General features: G+C 36.2%; 1 protein-coding gene across 1 annotated transcript; it reads right to left on the bottom strand.

Annotated features, from left to right (window-relative positions):
• Positions 1-1,564: 1,564 nt before the first annotated feature.
• On the bottom strand, positions 1,565-19,593 carry ANKRD7 (ankyrin repeat domain 7). Its single transcript, NM_019644.4, has 7 exons — positions 19,288-19,593; positions 9,752-9,866; positions 9,423-9,596; positions 8,150-8,256; positions 7,371-7,507; positions 4,299-4,388; positions 1,565-1,948 (listed from the first exon to the last, which is right to left on the bottom strand). The coding sequence occupies exons 1-6, from the start codon at positions 19,464-19,466 to the stop codon at positions 4,336-4,338; spliced, it is 765 nt and encodes a 254-aa protein (NP_062618.2). The 5' UTR covers positions 19,467-19,593; the 3' UTR covers positions 1,565-1,948; positions 4,299-4,335.
• Positions 19,594-21,148: the final 1,555 nt, after the last annotated feature.

The following is a 21,148-nucleotide window of genomic DNA, read 5'->3' as shown; positions in this document are numbered from 1 at the left end:
ACCAATGTTAACCTTGTGGTAACTTCCTCTCTCCTCTGATTCTTGGGTGTTTAGCTTCTGCCTCTATTATGAACTTTTTATTATGGTTTACTAAGTTTTGATTGGGAGACCTAGAGAAACCCTACTTATTCTATGAGCCCAGCCAAAAAGTTCCTTTTTAGCTGAAATCACCCCTGACCCTCCCTAATCTACGCTAGGTTTACCACTCCCTCCTTTTCTGCTAATGGCAAAGGTACATTACACATGTTCTAACTCTCATAAAGACTGGGAGTGGGGAAACTAAACATTTGTGAGCTCATTTAAGGCAGAGTATATAAAAACATCTTTTTCATCTTTGGTCCCCAGCATATAATATAGAATCTAGATCAGAGTTCTCAGCCGTGAAACTGTTGACATTTGGGGCCAGACAATTACTTGTTGTGGGGACAGTCCCATGCATGACAGGATATTTAGCAGTATTGATTCTCAGTCTTGACAATCAAAAATCTCAGCAGACATTGCCAAATATCCCCTGGGGTCAAAATTGCTCCCAGTTAAGAATCACTGATTGAAACCATAGCAGAAATTAAATGTTTGTTGACTTGAAGTCAGGAATTGTCTGGTTTTTTTCCCCCTCCATTTTAGCTCTTCAATATCACCTAGTGCTAGAAATAAGTGAAACAAACATACTTAAATAAAAGAGTGGTTTAAACAAGTTTCAATTTCAAAGAAAATCTTCCTTCTGAGCCATTAAAAGTAGAGCTTACAAGGATGATATACATTCATTCATGAGAGAAATGACATGGCATATTGGTTTATGGTACAAATTCTGGCATGGGACTGGCTAGGTTCAAATCCAGAGAGCATGGGTTTATACACCAGCTCCCAGTGTTCTAGCTCAGTAACCTCAAGCAAGTCATTGAACCATGTTGCACCTCAATGTTCTCATCTTAAAATGAGGATATAAATACTTCCTACCTCAACAAAACTGTGCAAAGATCATGAGGTAAGACATGTAAAGTTACTGGAACAGGGCCTGACAAGTATCACTTATTATTCAGCAAATTGAATATCTACTATACATCAGGCATTTTACAAGTAGTAGGGAACAAAAAGTTCAAGCCCTCATGGAGTTTTAATTCCAAAATGCAAGAAGAGAGTAGTGCCTTGTAAGTGACAGAATGACAGAGCAGTGACTGAGGTCCCATGAGGAGTTGTCCTAGGCAATAACTAAAGGAAAAAGGGTCTTATAGGGAACTGTTCTGAAGCCAGACCACACTTGATGTGTTTAAGCTATAGCAAAGAGCACAGTGAAAACTGTGGACAATGTATTGTGTTTTCAAGAAGAAAAATGTAAAACTGGAAATTCTCTTTGAGGAAAAAAAAACTAAGCAAATTTTAAAATACTACAAAACATGCCAAAAATTTAACAAATGTTTTGTTTGGGTAATGAGACTTTGAGTGATGCATTTTCTTTTTTCTTTTCTATAATACCCAAGTTTTCCGAATATATATTATAGTACTGTAGTGTTTCTAAAAAATCAAAAAGGTTTTACCAGTGAAAATACTTGTAAATAAAACATAATTTTGATTTATACAGGATTATTTATAATGTTTTCCTTCACTTTGTAGCTGAAATGTATTTTTATTTTATTTAAATGTTTTAATACATGCCTAACACAGTTTCCTCATTATTATTCCATTCAACATTTTGACACAAATTTTTTTCTGCCTATATATTGAACACAAATTTATCTTTTCAGCTGATGGTTCACAATATAGATGTTTATCTTTTAAAATTTCTTCATGTCTTCTAACGTGAAAAAAAAAAAATCCCATCCAATTAACAAACTTTTCTTCAACTGGGTAGTCAGCAAAAATATTATAATAGTTCACTTAACGGTTCTTTCAAAGTACATTTTTCCAATTCAAGGAAGCGGCAAAGAAATTGTAGAAATGGGTTCCATATCTAGGAAACAAATGATATTTATAATGTCTTCACTTACGTCCAAATATTTCCATTTCTACATGTATTTCTTAAATTATATGCCTCAGCTACAACACAATTATAATTTAGCATTTCTATATCTAATAGTAATTTTTAAATAATTAAGTAGTCTCTTTTGAATTTGACAGAAATATAACTTTTTATGTTCACCATTTTTGCAACATCTTTTGGTAATTTTCTTGACACAATAAATCTACGCTTTAAAACATTAATTAAGATTAACATTTCACTATGAACTGTGAACAAACTTGCCAAAATAAAATGAGTGAGCCTGGTTTTAAATGTCTACCCTCAAGAGGCACTCAAAATGTAGCAATGATTTTTCTGTAGTTTCTACTGCTTTAGTTCCCTTAAGAAACGAAGTGTAAATCACAGAAATTCTTCACTTCTTAGAGCTGCACAGACATTTAAAAGAGAGAGAGAGGTGCAGGAGAAGAGGAAATAAGAGTATACATTAAGAGTAATTCAGAGGGCCAGACACAGTGGCTCACGCATGTAATTATAGCACTTTGGGAGGCCGAGGCTGGCGGATCACCTGAGGTCAGGAGTTCGAGACCAGCCTGGCAAACATGGTGAAACCCCATCTCTACTAAAAATACAAAAATTAGTCGGGCATGGTGGTGGAGCCTGTAATCCCAACTACTTGGGAGGCTGAGGCAGGAAAATCGCTTGAACCCGGGAGGCAGAAATTGGAGTGAGCTGAGATTGCATCACTGCACTCTGGCCTGGGTGACAGAGTGAGACTCCACCTCAAAAACAGAAAAAAAAAAAAAAAAAAAAAAAAAAAAGGTAATTCAGAGAAATTCTCCCCTAAGTTTATTCACCTGGAATTGATAGGACCAAACATTGTTGTAAGCATTATCACTATAGATTTGTGGGGATGGGGGATGGAGAGGGCTTGAATAGTTGAGAATTTATATGATCTTCTATTGCCTCCACACTCCTTCTATGTCCTTTTTATTTTCTTCCATTTTACACTGGGGGTGAATTGTAGTGGAGGAGTCTGCTTGCTAGTGAATACAGAGGAGAGTTCTAAAAGTTTTTCTCTCATCCAACAAAAGTCAGTGTAAAACATACTTGTCAATAAAAGCTAATTTTTACAGACCTAAATAACTATATATTCTTTTTTTTTTTTTTTTTTTTTTTTTTGAGACGGAGTCTCGCTCTGTCGCCCAGGCCGGACTGCGGACTGCAGTGGCGCAATCTCGGCTCACTGCAAGCTCCGCCTCCCGGGTTCACGCCATTCTCCTGCCTCAGCCTCCCGAGTAGCTGGGACTACAGGCGCCCGCCACCGCGCCCGGCTAATTTTTTGTATTTTTAGTAGAGACGGGGTTTCACCTTGTTAGCCAGGATGGTCTCGATCTCCTGACCTCATGATCCACCCGCCTCGGCTTCCCAAAGTGCTGGGATTACAGGCGTGAGCCACCGCGCCCGGCCAATAACTATATATTCTTGAAAATGAATAACAAAATTTTATTTTAGTTGATGCACAGTAAATTCAATTCTTTACAAATATTGTTACTTTCTTTAAAATTTTATATAATTAATTCGTATATCTTATATTAACTACTATCAACAGTGCTTAATGTATTTTTACAATAAAATTAAAATTTTTATGATAGTTTTTCATCTATTAAAATATATATGTGCAAAAATTTTGTTTTTTATAGCTAGACATGAGACAATGGGTTAAAAAATGATCTTAATCATTAAGCATATTTTTACATTACATCTTTACATTTTCAGCCAACACAGTGTCAGAATATTTTAATCACAAATATTCACCATGGAATACTATGCAGCCATAAAAAATGATGAGTTCATGTCCTTTGTAGGGAGATGGATGAAATTGGAAAACATCATTCTCAGTAAACTATCGCAAGAACAAAAAACCAAACACCGCATATTCTCACTCATAGGTGGGAATTGAACAATGAGATCACATGGACACAGGAAGGGGAATATCACACTCTGGGGACTGTTGTGAGGTGGGGGGAGGGGGGAAGGATAGCACTGGGAGATATACCTAATGCTAGATGACGAGTTAGTGGGTGCAGTGCACCAGCATGGCACATGTATACATATGTAACTAACCTGCACAATGTGCACATGTACCCTAAAACTTAAAGTATAATAAATAAATAAATAAATAAATAAAAAAGAATAGTTCTTAAAAATATTTGACATTTCAAAATAATACAAAATTTCCATTTTAAAATTAAATGTTACTTAAGAAAGTTGTTTCCTTTCCTAAAAAATTAACAAATAAAAAGCAACAAGAAAAAAACACTAATCCAGTTAGCAATCTTACCTTCCTTTAGTCACATGTAGTGCCAAGAATAAGGTGTCTATTTAGCATGTTTCTTCTTTCCATGGCTCGCAGTGAATTGTGGGTATCTATCTATAAAGGAAATTACGTGTGAATGCCAGCATGCATAGAAATTTAATTCCTAACATATAAGTATCAAATCAAAACCTTAGGTACCAGCCAATGCTGCCCCAAGAATGTAACACACTTGAGGACAAGCTTCCTCTTGAGCCAACTCTGTCAACAGACACCACTTTTATTTCATGTACTCCCATTCTCTGGCACCTCTTTTCTTCCTGCTATCACAAATATGATTTTTTTAAAAGCCACTATCAAGATAGTAAAAATGGCTTTAATTTATAGTTGGTGTATTCATTTGCTAGAGGTGCCATAACAAAACACCACAAATGGGGCAGCTTAAACAGAAACTAATTTTCTCATGGTTCTGTCGGCTGCACATTTATTGAGGTGCCAGTGGGGTAGGCTTTCTCTGAGGTCCTTAAGGGAAAATCTGTCCCAGGCATTTATTTGCCTTTTAGATAACTGTTCTTTAGATTAGAGATCCCCAACCTTTTTGGCACCAGGGACTGACATTGTGGAAGGCAATTTTTCCACAGAAGTAGGGGGACAGGGGTGTTTCAGGATGAAACTGTTCCACCTGATATCATCAAGCACTAGTTAGATTCTCATAAGGAGACCACAAACTAGATCCTTTGCAAAGCGGTTCACAAGAGGGTTTGTGCTCCTATGAGAACCCAAAGCCTCTGCTTATCTGACAGGAGGCGGAGCTCAGGCGGCATTGCTTGCTGGCCTGCAGCTCACCTCCTGCTGTGCTGCCCCATTCCTAACAGGCCAAGGACCAGGTCTGGGCCATGGCCCAGGGGTTAAGGACACCTGCTTTAGGTGACTGCCCTTTAGATGACTGGCCTTTTCATATAAGTCATCCCTCTGAGCATGAGCACCCCTGTGTCTCTCTGCATGTTCTAACCTCCCCTTTTTATAAGGACCCAGGTTAGAAATTAAATTAGGGCCAACCCTATTGGCCTCACTTTAACTTAATCACCCCTTTAAAGGCTCTATCTCCAAAAATGGTCACATTCACAGGTACTAGGCCACGGCTTTCACGTGTGAATTTTAGGGGGAAATTCAGCCCACAGCTCTCAGGTTTAATAGTAAATTAACAAAGTGAAGACAATTAACTCAGTCAGGGACTGAAACACACCCAGTGATGAATATACTTTTGCTCCATGACAGAAAAGAGCCATATGGCTTCTGAATTTTAATGAGAGAAATGAAGAAATGCATGGGTTATGGCTAACCATAAAATAAATACTTAAATATAATTCCTTCATTTGGAAGTGTTTCACTAATTTTTTAAAACTATGAGGAATATTGTCTATGCTTCCACTTTACTAAGCCATAGAATCTACATAGAGAGCCAACAAATGATGTTATGAAGCAGCACATTCTTAAGTACGTTACATAGGCAACAGCTACTTGAGCAACAAAAGTCACAATTACAGAAAGCTTAGTTCCCACTGCAAAGAGGGGCAAATACTGTGAAAGGACAAGATTGTAGTTTTGAAGAGTCACTTGCAATTGTTATTAAATGTTGATCATTTCCACATCCCAGAGGTAATTGCTTAATCATTAGGAAGTTGCTTTTCTTCCCTCTCACCTCTTTGAAAAAAAAGAAAAAAAAATGTAATTCTCTTACAATTTTCGACATTGAAAATATGAATCTATTAAGAGGACAAAAACTTCATGGTCAATATGTTTGTATTTTAAAATTAATGATGGAGCAATCTACAAAAAGAATTTTCTGTTCTAAAAGCCATTTGGGGGAGATAAAGGAAGATTGTAAGATTTCCTTCTCATCAAACTATCCAATAATGCCTTCATGAGACTTGCTTACATATATGTAAATAAGTATTTTAAATATACAAGTTCTGTTTTTGACCAATAGATACATTACTAAACAGATACATGTGTCTTCTAGTTTCATATACCTAAGCTTTTTAAGTGATGGAAAAAAATCATACATAAAAGAAACATTAGGGATCACTTTTGTAGAGTGAAGAATCCTTTTATAGTTTGGATATTCACCAATAATTTACATGTTTATTTCATTAAGATTTTATGCATATGGTCTGCTTAAACCAAAGTAAAACAAAGTACACGTTCTGTATTACGAAGATGAAAATATTATATTTACTCAATTATGGTTCATGCATTTAATAGAATAAAAATTCTTTTGTGTCTAAAGTTAAATTAAGACTAAACATCTGTATGTATATGTGATTATTTTTCTTCCCTCCCACCTATGCTTTTCATATGGAATTAATGATTAAAAAGTATTCCTAAAATGTGAATAAAGCAGTGGAAGAAGAATAATAAAAACTGAAAAAATACCTACTTATAATTTTAAATTGCTCTTAAAATAAAATTATAGAGAAAATACCTTGTATGTTATTTAACTTCATTAAGCTGTAAATTAAGTTAGCTACAAATTATCTATAAGTTAAATTCATAAGCTATAAATTAAATTTTTGTACATCGTATCTAATTTTCTCATTAACTATTAAAAATCAGAACTTTGTATTCATACATGAAAATAGTTTTTCTTTTGGGTGTAAATAGAGTGTACTTTAGAATTCTGAACACTTACCAAACTAAGGTTAGCTAATGAAATGTTAACAATAATATTCAAAACATGAATACAATCCATATATTAATAATATCTAAAGGCAATGAAAGGCTTTGTGTGAATGAATCATCTTTTGTCCAACTCTATCACCTATATGTTTTATTAATGGCTATGTTACAAGTGTCTAAATCCCTACCCTGGCACACTTCCAATGCTCCTGCCTCTGGTAGTTTATTTGCATATTCAGCCCATCTGTAGCCCTTATATTGATTGAACCCACAAACAGAGAAAATCAAGAATCCCTGCACAGATTTGTATGTGGTTACCCCTACTGTTGAGCCTATTCCAGCCTTGTACTTTGGGGCTTAGGCTTTGATCCTTATAATCAAACCCCATACAGTTGTTAAAAGACATGCAGTATCACTTACGCAGTAAAACCATGGAAATAAACATATTCCTCAGCTGTGAATCCACAATACCTTCGTAACATAATTCCACACCTTGCTGAAGAAGAAGCTTTACTAAACATGGTGGTTCACCACTGACAGCAAGAATAAGGGCTGTTCTGGAGCAAGAGATAGAAATGAATGCCCATGTAAAGATCTTAAACATGCCTAATTTTAAAAATTCAGTCTTCTCAATTTACTACTCAAATGTAGGGCCTCTATCAGAAAGAGTCAAAGCAACAATGTAAAAAATACAGCAGATCTGCTCAAAAAAGTGTGCCAGTCACAGATCATATCATGGAGTCTAAACATGAACAGTACCTAGGAAGCAGCTAGCTCAATCATTTTCAATCTCTTCTTCCTGGAAGCCTAGTGTTTTCAAAAATATGTCTCAAAATTCCATGAAGGAATGTGTCTTGGGACTTTGGGTCCCCTGACCCCATTTAACTACAACAGTTGGTCATCTATGTAAGAGTCTAATGTTAAATTCTAATAATAAATGATAAATAATAATAATAACCAGTTAATACCTGGCCCAACTGTTTGATTTTACAAAGGGAAAAATAAATCCTAAAAGTTTAGGTAATCTGTCCAAAAGCATGTGAGCATACATCCTACGGGTCTTATGGTTCTATATTTTCCCAATATCATATATATTGTGTTTTGTGGACACACACACACACACACACACACACACATACGCACACACACAATCCTATCAGGTAGCTTTAGTTATGTGCTATCTTATTTATTAATTATACCTTTGATAATTATCTGAAGCATTCACATCAGCCCCTTTCTCCAGAAGAAATTTTACCATTTTTGGATTATTGTTAATAACGGCAACTAATAGTGGAGTATACCCATCCTGAAAAAAATATTTAAAAATGATTAAAATATTGTAGCAAATTTTCATGCTCTTTAGATTTAAGTTCAACTTAAAATATGTGTGCATAAGAACTTCTGAATATACACTTTAACTCTTAAAAGATTTTAATACATAAAAAAATGTGATTTCAAAGACCAAGAAAACAAATCAGGGTTGAGCCAGACAAAAAAATTTAAGTTCCTGTTTTAGGCTTAATTCAAATTGTAGGTAAGAGCAGCCTAGAATAAGTAAGTGATGAGCACTTAGCATTTAATGTAAGCATTGCATACTGTCAATTCACATTTCATAATATTGTCACATTCAGATTTCCACTGGGTTTCACTTAAACTTCCAAGGCTGGCACTTATTTTGGCTGTGGACAAAATATCAGTAAAGTATCAATACGCTTTTTTTTTTTTTTTTTTTTTTGAGACAGAGTCTTGCTCTGTTGCCCAGGCTGGAGTGCAGTGGCGCAATCTTGGCTCACTGCAAGCCCCGCCTCCCGGGTTCACGCCATTCTCCTGCCTCAGCCTCCCGAGCAGCTGGGACTACAGGCGCCTACCACGACGACCAGCTAATTTTTTGTATTTTTAGTAGAGACGGGGTTTCACCACGTTAGCCAGGATGGTCTCGATCTCCTGACCTCGTGATCCACCCACCTCGGCCTCCCAAAGTGCTGGGATTACAGGCGTGAGCCACCATGCCCGGCTCAATACACTTTTTAAAAAAATTCATCGGCTATTCATAATGCCTCAATAGAAGAGTTAGATTAATTTTAATATTGTGTCATTTGCTATTTCAACCCTGTTATTATTATTCATGAGTATATCAATAAAATAGAAAAAAGGTGGGTTTTATGATTTTTATCAATACCCAGTTATAAGAGAATTAAATATTCCTCATTTGTTATGGCCTGTTAAACAATTATAGTTGTTAAATATAGTGTTTCTTTGGAGGTCAGGATTACAATCTGCAATAAAATATAGAAAGAGTTCAAGAGAAGAAATATTTTATCAGTTTTTGATAATCTCTTCTCTTTCTCCCCAATTTTAGTTTGGAAAATTCATGCTTTATATAACATATATTTCAACATAGATGAATTATCTGAAATATGCTCTTCAGTTGCTTTCTAAAATACAGGATTTTTTTCTTTAATAGAAAACTACCTTATTTTTCGCTTCAAGATCAGCTTCGTATTCAAGCAGTTTTTCAACTAATGACAAACTTTGACCACAAACAGCATAGTGAAGAACAGTATTATAACGAATATCCCTCAGATCTGGGTCTGCACCAAAGTTTAGAAGAATAGTAGCACAATCCTCATTTTGACACTGTACTGCCTGTTAATGCAACAAGAGTAGATGAGTAACCAATTTACTACTTGGGATATGATAAATTAATGTTTGATACTATGTTTTAAAACATGAAAAATCAACAAAAATTAACTAGGAGAACTCAAACACATTCCAATTGAAAAAGAAAAACTATGGCATACCTTAATCAATGGGGATTTGTTTTCACTATCCCGGACATTTATTTTGCATTGTTGCTCAATTAGGAAAAGTACAACATCTGTATGTCCATTAGCACAGGCTAGGTGCAAAGGTGTTCTATGTCAATAAAACAAAACACAAAGTTAGAGATAAGTCTTCGTTTGAGAAGTTACTTGTTTTACCCAAAAACAAGCCAGATTGTACATTGGTAAGGTACTTGCTTCATGCACATATTTCTATTTAAACAAATGTACATTAATTACAATTACATTTTATTGAACTTTCAGGGCTGCGCAAGTGTGTTGAAGATTAAATATTTAACTGATTTCACTTCAAGGAAAATTTAACTATAATGAGATGAAAATAGATTTTTTAAAAAATACCAAAATGATGTCTGGGCCTTGGAAAAGATAATAAAGTTAGGTATCACCATAAAATTTAGAAATTATATTTAAAACCTGAAATACATCTAATAGGTAACAGGAGGAAAGGATATTACTTAATCAATGACATGCTGTACCTAATTGTGTGTTTTTCTTTATTTACTCAGTGATTAAAGTTGGCATTTGTTTCTGAGAAGTAAAAGGTGAATGCCTAAGTACTCTCTAAGTTGTAGATCTTAACCCTATTTTAAGTTATTACACTAATTTCTACTTCTAAAGAACCCTATTCTAGGTAGCCTACCGGAAACCAGACACACATTCATGAATTATGACAGAAGACTAATTAGATCCATTTAAATTTTGCAGTTTTTAGCCTGGACTGGCCCTCAATAAACATTTATCTACTTCTAAGGTGATATCATTATAGCCTTGTTTTTAGATAATTTTATAATACCAAGGCCACATATAAATAATCCATGTTCCAAACAAGAAACTTAAATATATTTTCCTTGTTTCACTTTAGCTCCTCAGAAGTACTCTATGGGTACCTAAATAAACCTGCTATTGACACACAGGAGTAGCAAAAAGGTGAACCTCAAAAATAAGATAACTACTTAAAAATAAGGCAATTTTCAAAAAGATAAACAAACAAAACCTATACACAATAACTTACCATCTATGGCAATAAACCAAGAAAATATAAAAACAGTTCAAAAAATTGGAGAAAGCTAAAATTCTAATTAAGTTTACCTGAATGTAATCTCTGGAAGGCAAGACTGTAATACAACTACAATATAAAAAGCCAAATTTTAACCAATTATATTATTATTTAGCTAAAGAGAGAGCACAGTCAGGAAGAAGACAGTCAGCTAACATAACAGAATAAAACCAGAAGTTATCCATAATTAATTAACATACTACATGGAAAAGACAATCTGAATTTAAGGAACGAACAAAGAAGTACTTTGTTGTAGGACAAAAATGATTCATCAAACAACATGGTCTAAATTATGTTTCCCTCAAAACTATCCACCTTTACTTTACTGTGATTCCATCCTTACCAAGCAAATTTCTGATGACTAATTTCTCAGTAATCCTGATACAATGAAGCACTAATTAAGCTTTCTGTTCACATTTACAGTTTGGCTTAAGGATGAAATTCCTTATGTAATAGGAGTTTTCAGAGCCCTCAATCCAAACATAACACAGGGCTAAATAGCTTTAAGCCCACCAAAGATAATCCCTTGCAGTAGATAGCAAATCCTGGCAAACATTTTGATGTGTCTCCCTCATCTGCTATTACACATATCTTGAGAATTTAGTTCCAAGGAACTTTGGTGGTTTCCACCCAATTTTTAGATCTGCCTCTCCCTCCAACTCCAATTTTTTACCTAATTTAAAATAAACGCATAAAATTACACACACACACACACACACACACACAAACACACTGCTCTTACTAAGAGAAAGTAAATGGATTCCCAATAGGTCCTCCACAAATGGCTGCTGCACCCTGCTGTATACCTCGCTCTTCCACCAACTGAATCTAAAACCTTCAGTAACAAATCTCATAAAAAAATTTCATGGCTCATATTAAGCTCCAAGAACTTAGGAAATCAGCCACAAATTCAATAAAATAAAATAGCCATGAAAGATTCCACTTTCAAAGGAGGTGTTGAACAATACAGCCTGGGGTCATTTGTACAAAATCTGAAAACAAGAACTAATCTAGCTTTGAGCATGCACAAAACACTGAAAAGTTCACAATATTCACTCAAACCGTCAATCTTGCAAAGATTTTCACTTAGAATATTTGTCATCCTTTTAAAGCAGTCATCTTAGTTTAAAAAAAAACCAAAATGTTTTAAAAAACATACAGATTTAACATTTACATTCATTTTATTTTAAATTTTAGATTTAAGTGTCCTTAAATTTTAGAGCTCACAATTGGAGCAAGCAGCAAAACAAACAAACAAACAAAAAAAAAATTTGTTGTGGCCACTTATCTATATGTTTACACATATAATGTAAATGCTTCGAGGCCAATAGGAATGCTTTTCCACTTAATGTCAAAAACAGAGGCCATTCTATTTTTTGAAAGAGTTGAATGCAAAAAGTATATTTACAGATATCTTAGAGAAACATTTTAAAATCAATATTATTCCATTTGTCAAAAATCCTTAACTTTCATGAATACATTATACTCCCAATTTAAGACTTTAGTTTATATTGTTACTTCTTAACTCATGGTACTTAATCTAACCAGAAATCTAAATTCCTGTGAAGCTTAGTACTGGTTTCTAGGTTTTCAGGCTAACCGATGTCATTTTGTTTCATTCAAGTTCTATTTTCTCCCAGACTCTCACTCTCTCATATATCGATGGAAAAATTGTCAGCATAGACTGTGGACAGGTGATGAATGATCAGATACCAGAAATTTCAAATTGAACTTTAGCAAAAGGGATGACTGAGATGAGCGTCAAGGCTGAAAGATTACTTTGAAAGCTGAAGTGAAAAGTGTTATCTGCTAGACAGAGTACAGGGCCAGGGCATAGCTGTAGCCTTCAATTGAATCTCATGATGAGAATGCCCTTTTTAAGTGACATTCTTGGGCTCCTGATAACTTAGAGTTCAGGGTGAGTGAAGGAGAAGTAACCAAGGAAGCTAACTCACACTAGGTCATTTATTTTCATCTCTAGGCTGGGCACTTTCGATGTAATCTAGATTTGAGTAGTATGGTTGAAGGTATTAATTTAGAATTGGGCCTCCACTCACCAAGTTATGTATAGATCTTAAGGGCTTTTTTATTAAAAACCATAAAAGTGATTTTATAGCAGGAGAGACATTAAACATCTCCAATTCATTTTCAAACTTATTAGGCACACTGCTCTTGAAATAAAAACAAAAATAGAAGCTAACTACACAGAGCACATTAACAGGGAGCTATTCCGATTTAATAAGATGCCTGCAACAGAGCTTTGCAGATCTTTGTTTAAAAAACACTAATCGAGTAGTAGCTCTAGTTTGAAAGATGAGACTGAAGGTATCTCTGCATGATACAGATGTAGAGAAGGCCTCAAACTCAGATCTTGACTCTCAGAACAATGTTTTTCCTGCTAGGCCACTGTGGCTTCCTGAACAATCTGCTTATGCTATTTCCTCTGTCCCTTTTTTTCTTTTTTACCAGAAATTCCAATTTTCAGTATCATTTTTTTTACTAGAAAACATATCTAAAAATATCACTTCCATTAGGCCATTAATATGCACATATGCTTACATGAGGTTTCAGAGACCTTAAGCACAATGCTTCCAAAATGATTCTGTGAAACATTTGATAAAACATTGTAATTTACCTTATTAAAAATTCAAACAAAACAAATAGTTCCCAATGACCATCTCACTCTATCTACTTTCCTCTGCCCACATTTCATCTCTCTTGGAAATAGCAATTTAAGTATATGTCCTTTAATATTTTATCTTTCTCATTTTCAGTATCTCTCTCTCTCTCTCTCTACACACACACACACACACGTTCAAACAGAAATATACAATTTGAGATTTTTTTCATTCAGCTTTATCAAGTTGTAATTTATAATAAAATTAAAGTGTACAACTTTATGAATTTTGACTAGTCAATTTATAGTCAATTCTTTGCAGTCAATTCTTTCCCCTCCCCCCATATCTAAAACCACTGGTAACTATTAATTTACATTATGTCACTATCCTTTTTTTTTAGATTCGGGGTGTACATATGCAGGTTTGTTACATGGGTATCTTGCATAATGCTGTGCTTCTGCTGAACTCATTACCCAAATAGTGAACATAGCATCTAATAGGTAGTTTTTCAACTCTCATGCCCATCCCACCATTCCCCCATTTGGAGTCCCTAGTGTCTATTATTTCCACCTTTATGTCCATGTGATAGAGATAATTTCATATCCTCTTTGTCAATTTGGATGCCTTTTATTTCTTTTGACTGATTTTTCTGGCTAGGATTTCCAGTACTATGTTGGATAGGAGTGGTGAGAGCAGACATCTTTGTCTTATTTCAGTTCTTAGGAGGAATGCTTTCAACTTTTCCACATTCAGTATGATGTTGGCTGTGTGTTTGTCATAGATGTCCCTTATTATTTTGAGGTACGTTCCTTCGATGCCTAGTTTGTTGAGGGTTTTTATCATGAAGGGATGTTGGATTTTATCAATGTTTTTCCTACAACTATTGAGATGATCATCTGGTTTTTGCTTTTAATTCTGTTTATGTGGTGAATCACATTTATTGATTTGCATATGTTGAACCATCCTTGTACACCTGGAGTAAAACCCACTTGATTGTGTTGAATTATCGTTTTGATGTACTACTGGATTTGGTTTGCTAGTATTTTGTTGATGATTTCTGTGTCTATGTTCATAGGAATATTGGACTGTAGTTTTCTTTTTTTGTTGCTTCCTGTATGCTACAGTGCTTTTACCTTTCCTAGAATTTCATGTAAATGGAGTCATTTGTGTCTGGTTTCTTTCAGTTAGCATGACACTTTCAAGATTCACCCATATTTTTGCATATATCCATAATTCATTGCATTTATTGCTGAATAGTATCCTTAAGTTCTCCCATTTATATGTGTATATATGTATGTATTCATCCTTTCATTCATTTATTTTAAAAATATTAAGCGCTCACTATGGCTAGGCAGGGTTCTAGGTGATGAGGATATATCAGCAAACAAAACATATGTGAATACCTGCTTTTATAAATCATACATGTTAGTAGAAGAGGTAAACAACAAACAATTTAAAAGATAAAAAGTACATAAGACAATATTAAGTTCTAAAGAGAAAAGCAGGGAAGAAGGGTAGGAAATGTCAGTGAGGAGAAAGGGTACAACTGTAGGTAAAGAGTAGCCAGGGAAGCCCTCACTAGTAAGGTAACAGTTGAATAACACCTAAAGGAAGTGAAAGAGCAAGTCATATGACTATCTGAGGGAAAAGCACCCCAGGCAGAGGGACCAGCTAGTCCAAAAACCCTAAATGCATGTCTTGCATTTCTGTGGAACAGTAAGAAGGCCAGTGTAGCTGGATGTAAATGAATGAAAGGAAGAGTTGTAGGAGGTAAGATCAGACAAGTAACAGGGTGAAGATGAAGATCATATAGGGTGGTATGAGACACTGGATGGATCCGGCTTTTACCCCTAGTAAGATGGAAAGTGATTGGAAGTTACGAAAACAAGGAATAATACCATTTGACATACATTACACAGGATCATTCTGACTGCTGTGTTGAGAATAAGCTGAAAAGGGAAAAGTGTAGTTAAGTGGCCACTGTAGTAATTCTAGGTAAGACATAATGGTGGCTTTGACTATGGTAGTACTTATAAAGGTGGCAAGAAATGCTTGGATGTTAGATTTATTTTGAAGGAGGAGCCAACAAGATTTGCTGTTTAATCAAATGGATGTGAAGGAATTAGAGGAATCAAAAATATTCTAGAATTTCAGCCTTAAGCAATTGAAAGACAACATTTGGCATTTATCGAAAAAGAAAAGGCAGGTCAGAAGTAGAATAACAGGATCTTAGTTTGGGAATGTTTGAGACCTCAGTTTGAGAAAGCTAAGTAGTGATGTGATGGAGCTAGTGGTTCTTACAAGCTAACTGTTAAATTTTCAGGAATTTTGCAAGCCAGTTGATATCCCATTGGTAGCTTAAAATTGGCCACAATTTATAAACTGTATGAATCAGGGTTTTCCCTCTTTCCCTCCCCTACCCATTAAGGGCCTGTTATTAAACATGTATTAGCACACCAGTGAATATTATATATCTAAGTATAAATATAGGCAGCAAGAGGTCTGGTTGGCTGGAGATTAAAAGTTGGAAGGCACTGGAATATATATATTTAAAGCTAATCTCTCTTCACCAGGAGAGTGAAGATAAAAGTAGAGAGAGAATCATTTCTGGTGGAATTCCTTACGTGTTTACAAGTCAGGAAGATGAAGAGAAACCAGCAAAAGAGTCTCAAAAGAAGTGTCCACAGAATTAGGAGAAATGCCAGATGGCCCCAGTGTTCTGAAAGACAATATTTCAAATACCACTGATATGGCAAATAAAATACTTTGCTGACAGGCCAGCAAGGTAAGACTAAAAACTGACCCCTGAATGAAGTCACATTGAAGTTATCGATTACCTTATAAAGTCATTCAGCGGAGTGGTGTAGGATAAAAGCCATCTAGAAGATTGGACAACACTGTTTTTGTTAAAAAAAAAAAAAAGACATAATACTATCAATAAGCTAAATACAAATCCTTTTCCTAACTGTATAGTTTTCACTTACCCACCTGTGATGAAAGATGATGCTTTTCATACCCTATGACTTGAAAACTCCCAAAAATATTTTAAGGCAGCCACTGATAGTACATATTTACTGTTACTAATGCCAAACACCTAACTTTGTTTCTTAATATGTATTAATTTTCGCAGCAAGTGGTTGTTAATGGGTTTGTTTGAAGATATTATGTAATTGAGGAAATTTTTCATAAGTGATCCACATTAAAAAGATTAACCAGAGTGATGTCAGCAATATGACAGAGTAGGAAACCCCGAAGTACCCTTCCTCACAACAAACACACCAATTCAGCAACAGCGTAAGGACAAACTCCCTTTGTGAAAACTCAGAAACTAATTGGAAGTCTCCTGCACCCTGAGCGAATACAAAACCAGAGGCACTAGAACTAATAGAGAGATTCAGAACACCCTCTTGCTGAAGATTCTGCCTCCAACACAGTGCCATATGATAAGAAAGAGACCCACTACCTCCCAGCTTTACCCAAGAGAGCAAAGGAGGTGGCTTGCCAGCACCCCAGCTTCCCCATAAACAATATGAATACATGTTAATTATGACAACAACAAAGTTTGGGGGGAGATAAAATTTAGAATTTTTATATGCTATTGAACTTCAATTGTTAGCAACTTAAAATAAACTGCTATGAGCTATTTTATGTAAGTCCCAAAGTAACCACAAAAAAAAATCTGTAGAAGTTACACAAAAAAGAAAGAAAGGAACCAAAGCACATCAGTATCAAAGCACAAAATCAAGAAAATACAAAGGAAGACAGTAAGAAAGAAAAAGACAAAGGAACTATAAGAGTAACATGAAAGCTAACAAAATAGCAATAGTAAAACTTTCCCTATCTATAAATACTTTAAGTGTAAATAGATTAAGCTCTGTAATCAAACAGTGGCTGAATAGATAAAACACAAGATGCAACTACAGTTGACTCTTGAACAGCAGGTGTTTGAACTGTGTAGGTTCACTTATACATAGATTTTTTTCAATAGCTATATAAGAAAAATTTTGGAAATTTGCAACAATTTGAAAAAACTAGCAGATGAAACATGTAGCCTAAAAATATTGAAAAATTAAGAAAAGGTTACGTATGCCATGAATGCATAAAATATATGTAGATATCAGTCTATTTTATCATTTACTACCAAAAAATACCAGAGACACTGTGATCAACCCCTCTTCTTCCTCCTCCTCCATCTACTCAATGTGAAGAAAACAGGATGAAGAACTTTATGATGATCCACTTCAACTTAACAGTAAATATATTTTCTCTTCCTTATAATTTTCCTAATAACATTTTTTTCTTTTGCTAACTTTATTGTAAGAATATAGTGGATAACACATATTACATACAAAATATATGTTAACTGTTTATGCTGTTGGTAACACTTCCAATCAATAGTAGGCTATTTATAGTTAAGTTCTGGGGGAGTCAAAAGTTATTAGCAAATTTTTACTTCACAGGGGGTTGACTCCCCACCCCAACCCCTACATTGTTCAAGGGTTAAGTGTATATGCTCTCTATGAGAAACTCACTTTAGATTAAAGAAGAATTTGATTAAACAGCGAGTTCAAATGCCTGTTTTGAAGCAGCCATTGTGCTCTCAAGTATGCCAAGACAGAGCCTAAAACTACACTTGTTATAAAGCTAAACTGGGTATGAAGCTATCTGGGGAGTCCCTCTGCTTGTTAACCCCAGCTCAACAGCAACTCTGAGTTTGGAGATTCTCAAAGTCTCTTTTAAATTGTAACCAAAGTAAGGACAGTGGTTTAACAGAGTTCATATAGCTGATTGTGCTGCATCAAGGCCCCAGGGGGCTACAAGGGACCTTTGTGACTTGACAAGTTCAATGGTAATGAGTGTGGTTAATGAATAGTACGGCTTATTCATCATATTATCCCAGAATCTGACACGTTTATACAGTTGTTACACATATTTGCAGCATATATTTGGTGAGAAAATGGAATCAGATTTAAGAAAATTGGTGATAAGTAATGGGTAGCAATGAAGGGAGAAAAAAAATCATCCTCTGTCCAAATAAGTTTGTTAAGTATCAATAAACTCAGCAAGCTTCTTCTTCAAAAAATTTAAAAGTTACTTGTTTTGATGTTTCCAAGTGTTAAAATCTAACTAACCAATGTTCCAGGGGGTCGTCTCTACTCTTTTCCTATTCTCCCATTAGCAAAATTGTACATCTTAGTGCCTGGGGACGATCTATTACCAAGAAGCAAAACAGTAAGGTGGGGAAAAGATGGACTGCCAGTGGAGACTAAGCCAGTCAGAGGAGAGGATGGATTCAGGAAGGGTAGAAAATATTCAAGCAAGCAATTTTTTTTTTTTTTTTTGAGATGAGTCTTGCTCTGTTACTCAGGCTGGAATGCAGTGGCCCGATCTCGGCTCACTGCAACCTCCGCCTTCCGGGTTCAAGTGATTCTCCTACCTCAGCCTCCTGAGTAGCTGGGATTACAGGCGTCCGCCACCACGCCCCACTAATTTTTGCATTTTTGGTTAGAGACGGGGTTTCGCCATGTTGGCCAGGCTGGTCTCAAACTCCTGACCTCAGGAGACCCACCCGCCTCGGCCTCCCAGAGTGCTAGGATTACAGACGTGAGCAACCACGCCCGGCCCAGCATTTTTTTTTTAAATTAAATAAAAAGCCGAAAGTTGGAGTGGGACCCTCTGCCAATGGTTACCAGACAATCTCTCTTCTTTGGGAAACCCGGAGTGACAATCAGTGTCAAACAGCCCCCACTTGTCTTATTTCTGGTTGAACGACCCAGGCCCCAACCCGTCCTCCCGCGCTGGCTCTTCAGTCTGGTCACCTGTATTTTTTGTCCTGCATATTTACATCATATTTCTTGATCTGAAGGTATTCCTTCAGCTTCTTCAAATCCCCGACTGAAGCAGCTCTGTGAAGTTTCTTTAAATCCTTTTCTCGAAGGTTGTAGCCCTGGCTGCGGGTCTCATTCTTCCTCTTCCAGAAGCTGAAAAGCTTATTCATGGCGGTGCAGGCTGCAGCCTTTCCCTCAGACCAGGATGTTTCTTGAACTCCTAGCCGTCCGCCCTGCCCCTCTGCCCTGGCATCCGGCCGGCAGCCCTCTCCAGTACCTGACGAAAGTGGAAATGCTGGAAGGGCCTCGCGCAGCCGGCCGTTATGGCAGTTACGGCCGTTATGGCTGTTAAGGTCGTTATGGTCCGGTCCTAGGGGCTCGCAGACCTGCATTCTCACCTAGGACTTGGGCCTGACGGCCACACCTGCAGTCTTCCTATTAGATCATGAACCTTGGAATAGAAACTTACCAGCTTTCTTACAAATAGCCTCTTCTCCTTCAAAAGCAGATCTAAGGGCTTGAACTCTTGCAAACTAATGCCTACCTTCCTTGTGATGGGGATGGGGAGGGGTGGATCTCTTCCAGTGATCTTCCCTCCAACCTACTCCCAGCCTCTCACCTCCCTGGCCACATGCGACAAATTGTCTTTATAATAACTGCAATTCCTCAATAATCTCAATTTCATACACACTTTTTAACACCACTTCTCATATTCCAGCTCACTTTGTCTGGTCACAAAACTCCAAAAGTCCTTTGAAAATCTAACTCACTGCACCTACAGTCCATTAGTCTCATATCCTTTCCCTGGCCTGGACCCCCACACCCTGTGTCCTCACTTCACTACTTAACTAAATTCCACGGTCAATCGTCATAATCACTCCCATGCAGATACCTTCACTAAGTTTTTCCCCATTCCTTTTCTTACCTATCTGTGCCTAAACCAAAACCCTCATTAAATCTAAACTCTTTGCTCTGCCCTAAGCCACAAAATGTGACCAAAGGAAAAAACACAGTCCTGCCATCATCTTTCATTTCCAGTTCAGGAAAATCCACCTCAAAAGGTCTGTTATTCTTCCTCTCTCTTCACACCTCCTTGGCTCATGGCCCTTTTTCCTGATCCATTGAGAAAAAGATCCAATCAAAAGAGAAACTGTACCAGCTCCCACGATATCTACCCACTTACCTGCACCTTGAAAAAAAAAAAAAAAAAAAACTTTACCTTTCTCTTGTTCATGTAGATGATATGTTCATGTTCCTAGCAAAGGCCAGCACCATTCTTGCATGTACTAGACCCCATCCTCTCTAGCCTATCCAAAAACATTATTCAGTAAATCCTTCTTCCCTGCTTTCATATGTATCTTTAAAGTTTCCCTCTCTGTTAACCAATTCTTACTAGCTTAAATACATACTAGTATTTGCCTCCTACTAAGAAAACAAACAGGAAGATTGACCACATCTCCCCCTGAAACCATCACCGCAATTGCTCTCTTTTGTGGCAAAATTCCTCAGTAGGATTGTCTAAAATGTTATAATCTCTGCTACAATTTTTCTCCCTCTGTTCTCACTTAAAGCAGTTCCCATCATCACCTTTTTGCTCCCATCACTCAAATGACACTACTTTTAAGCCAGATTGATGATGATGTCTATCACATGAAAGCTAATGGTCATTTCTGAGTTTTCATGTAAATACAGCAGCATTTGACACAGCTGACCATTGCTAACTCCTTGAAACACTTTTTATTTTTTTGGTTTGGCTTCCAAGATACCACACTTGTCTCGTTTGATTCCTACCTCTTTAAACATTTTTTTCAATCCAATTTGTTGGCTCCTCTTTATCTTCAATTATTGGAGA

Source organism: Homo sapiens, chromosome 7 (genome assembly GCF_000001405.40).
Source record: "Homo sapiens chromosome 7, GRCh38.p14 Primary Assembly".
In the NCBI taxonomy this organism is placed as follows: domain Eukaryota; kingdom Metazoa; phylum Chordata; class Mammalia; order Primates; family Hominidae; genus Homo; species Homo sapiens.
This window is presented reverse-complemented; position numbering and strand designations above follow the sequence as displayed.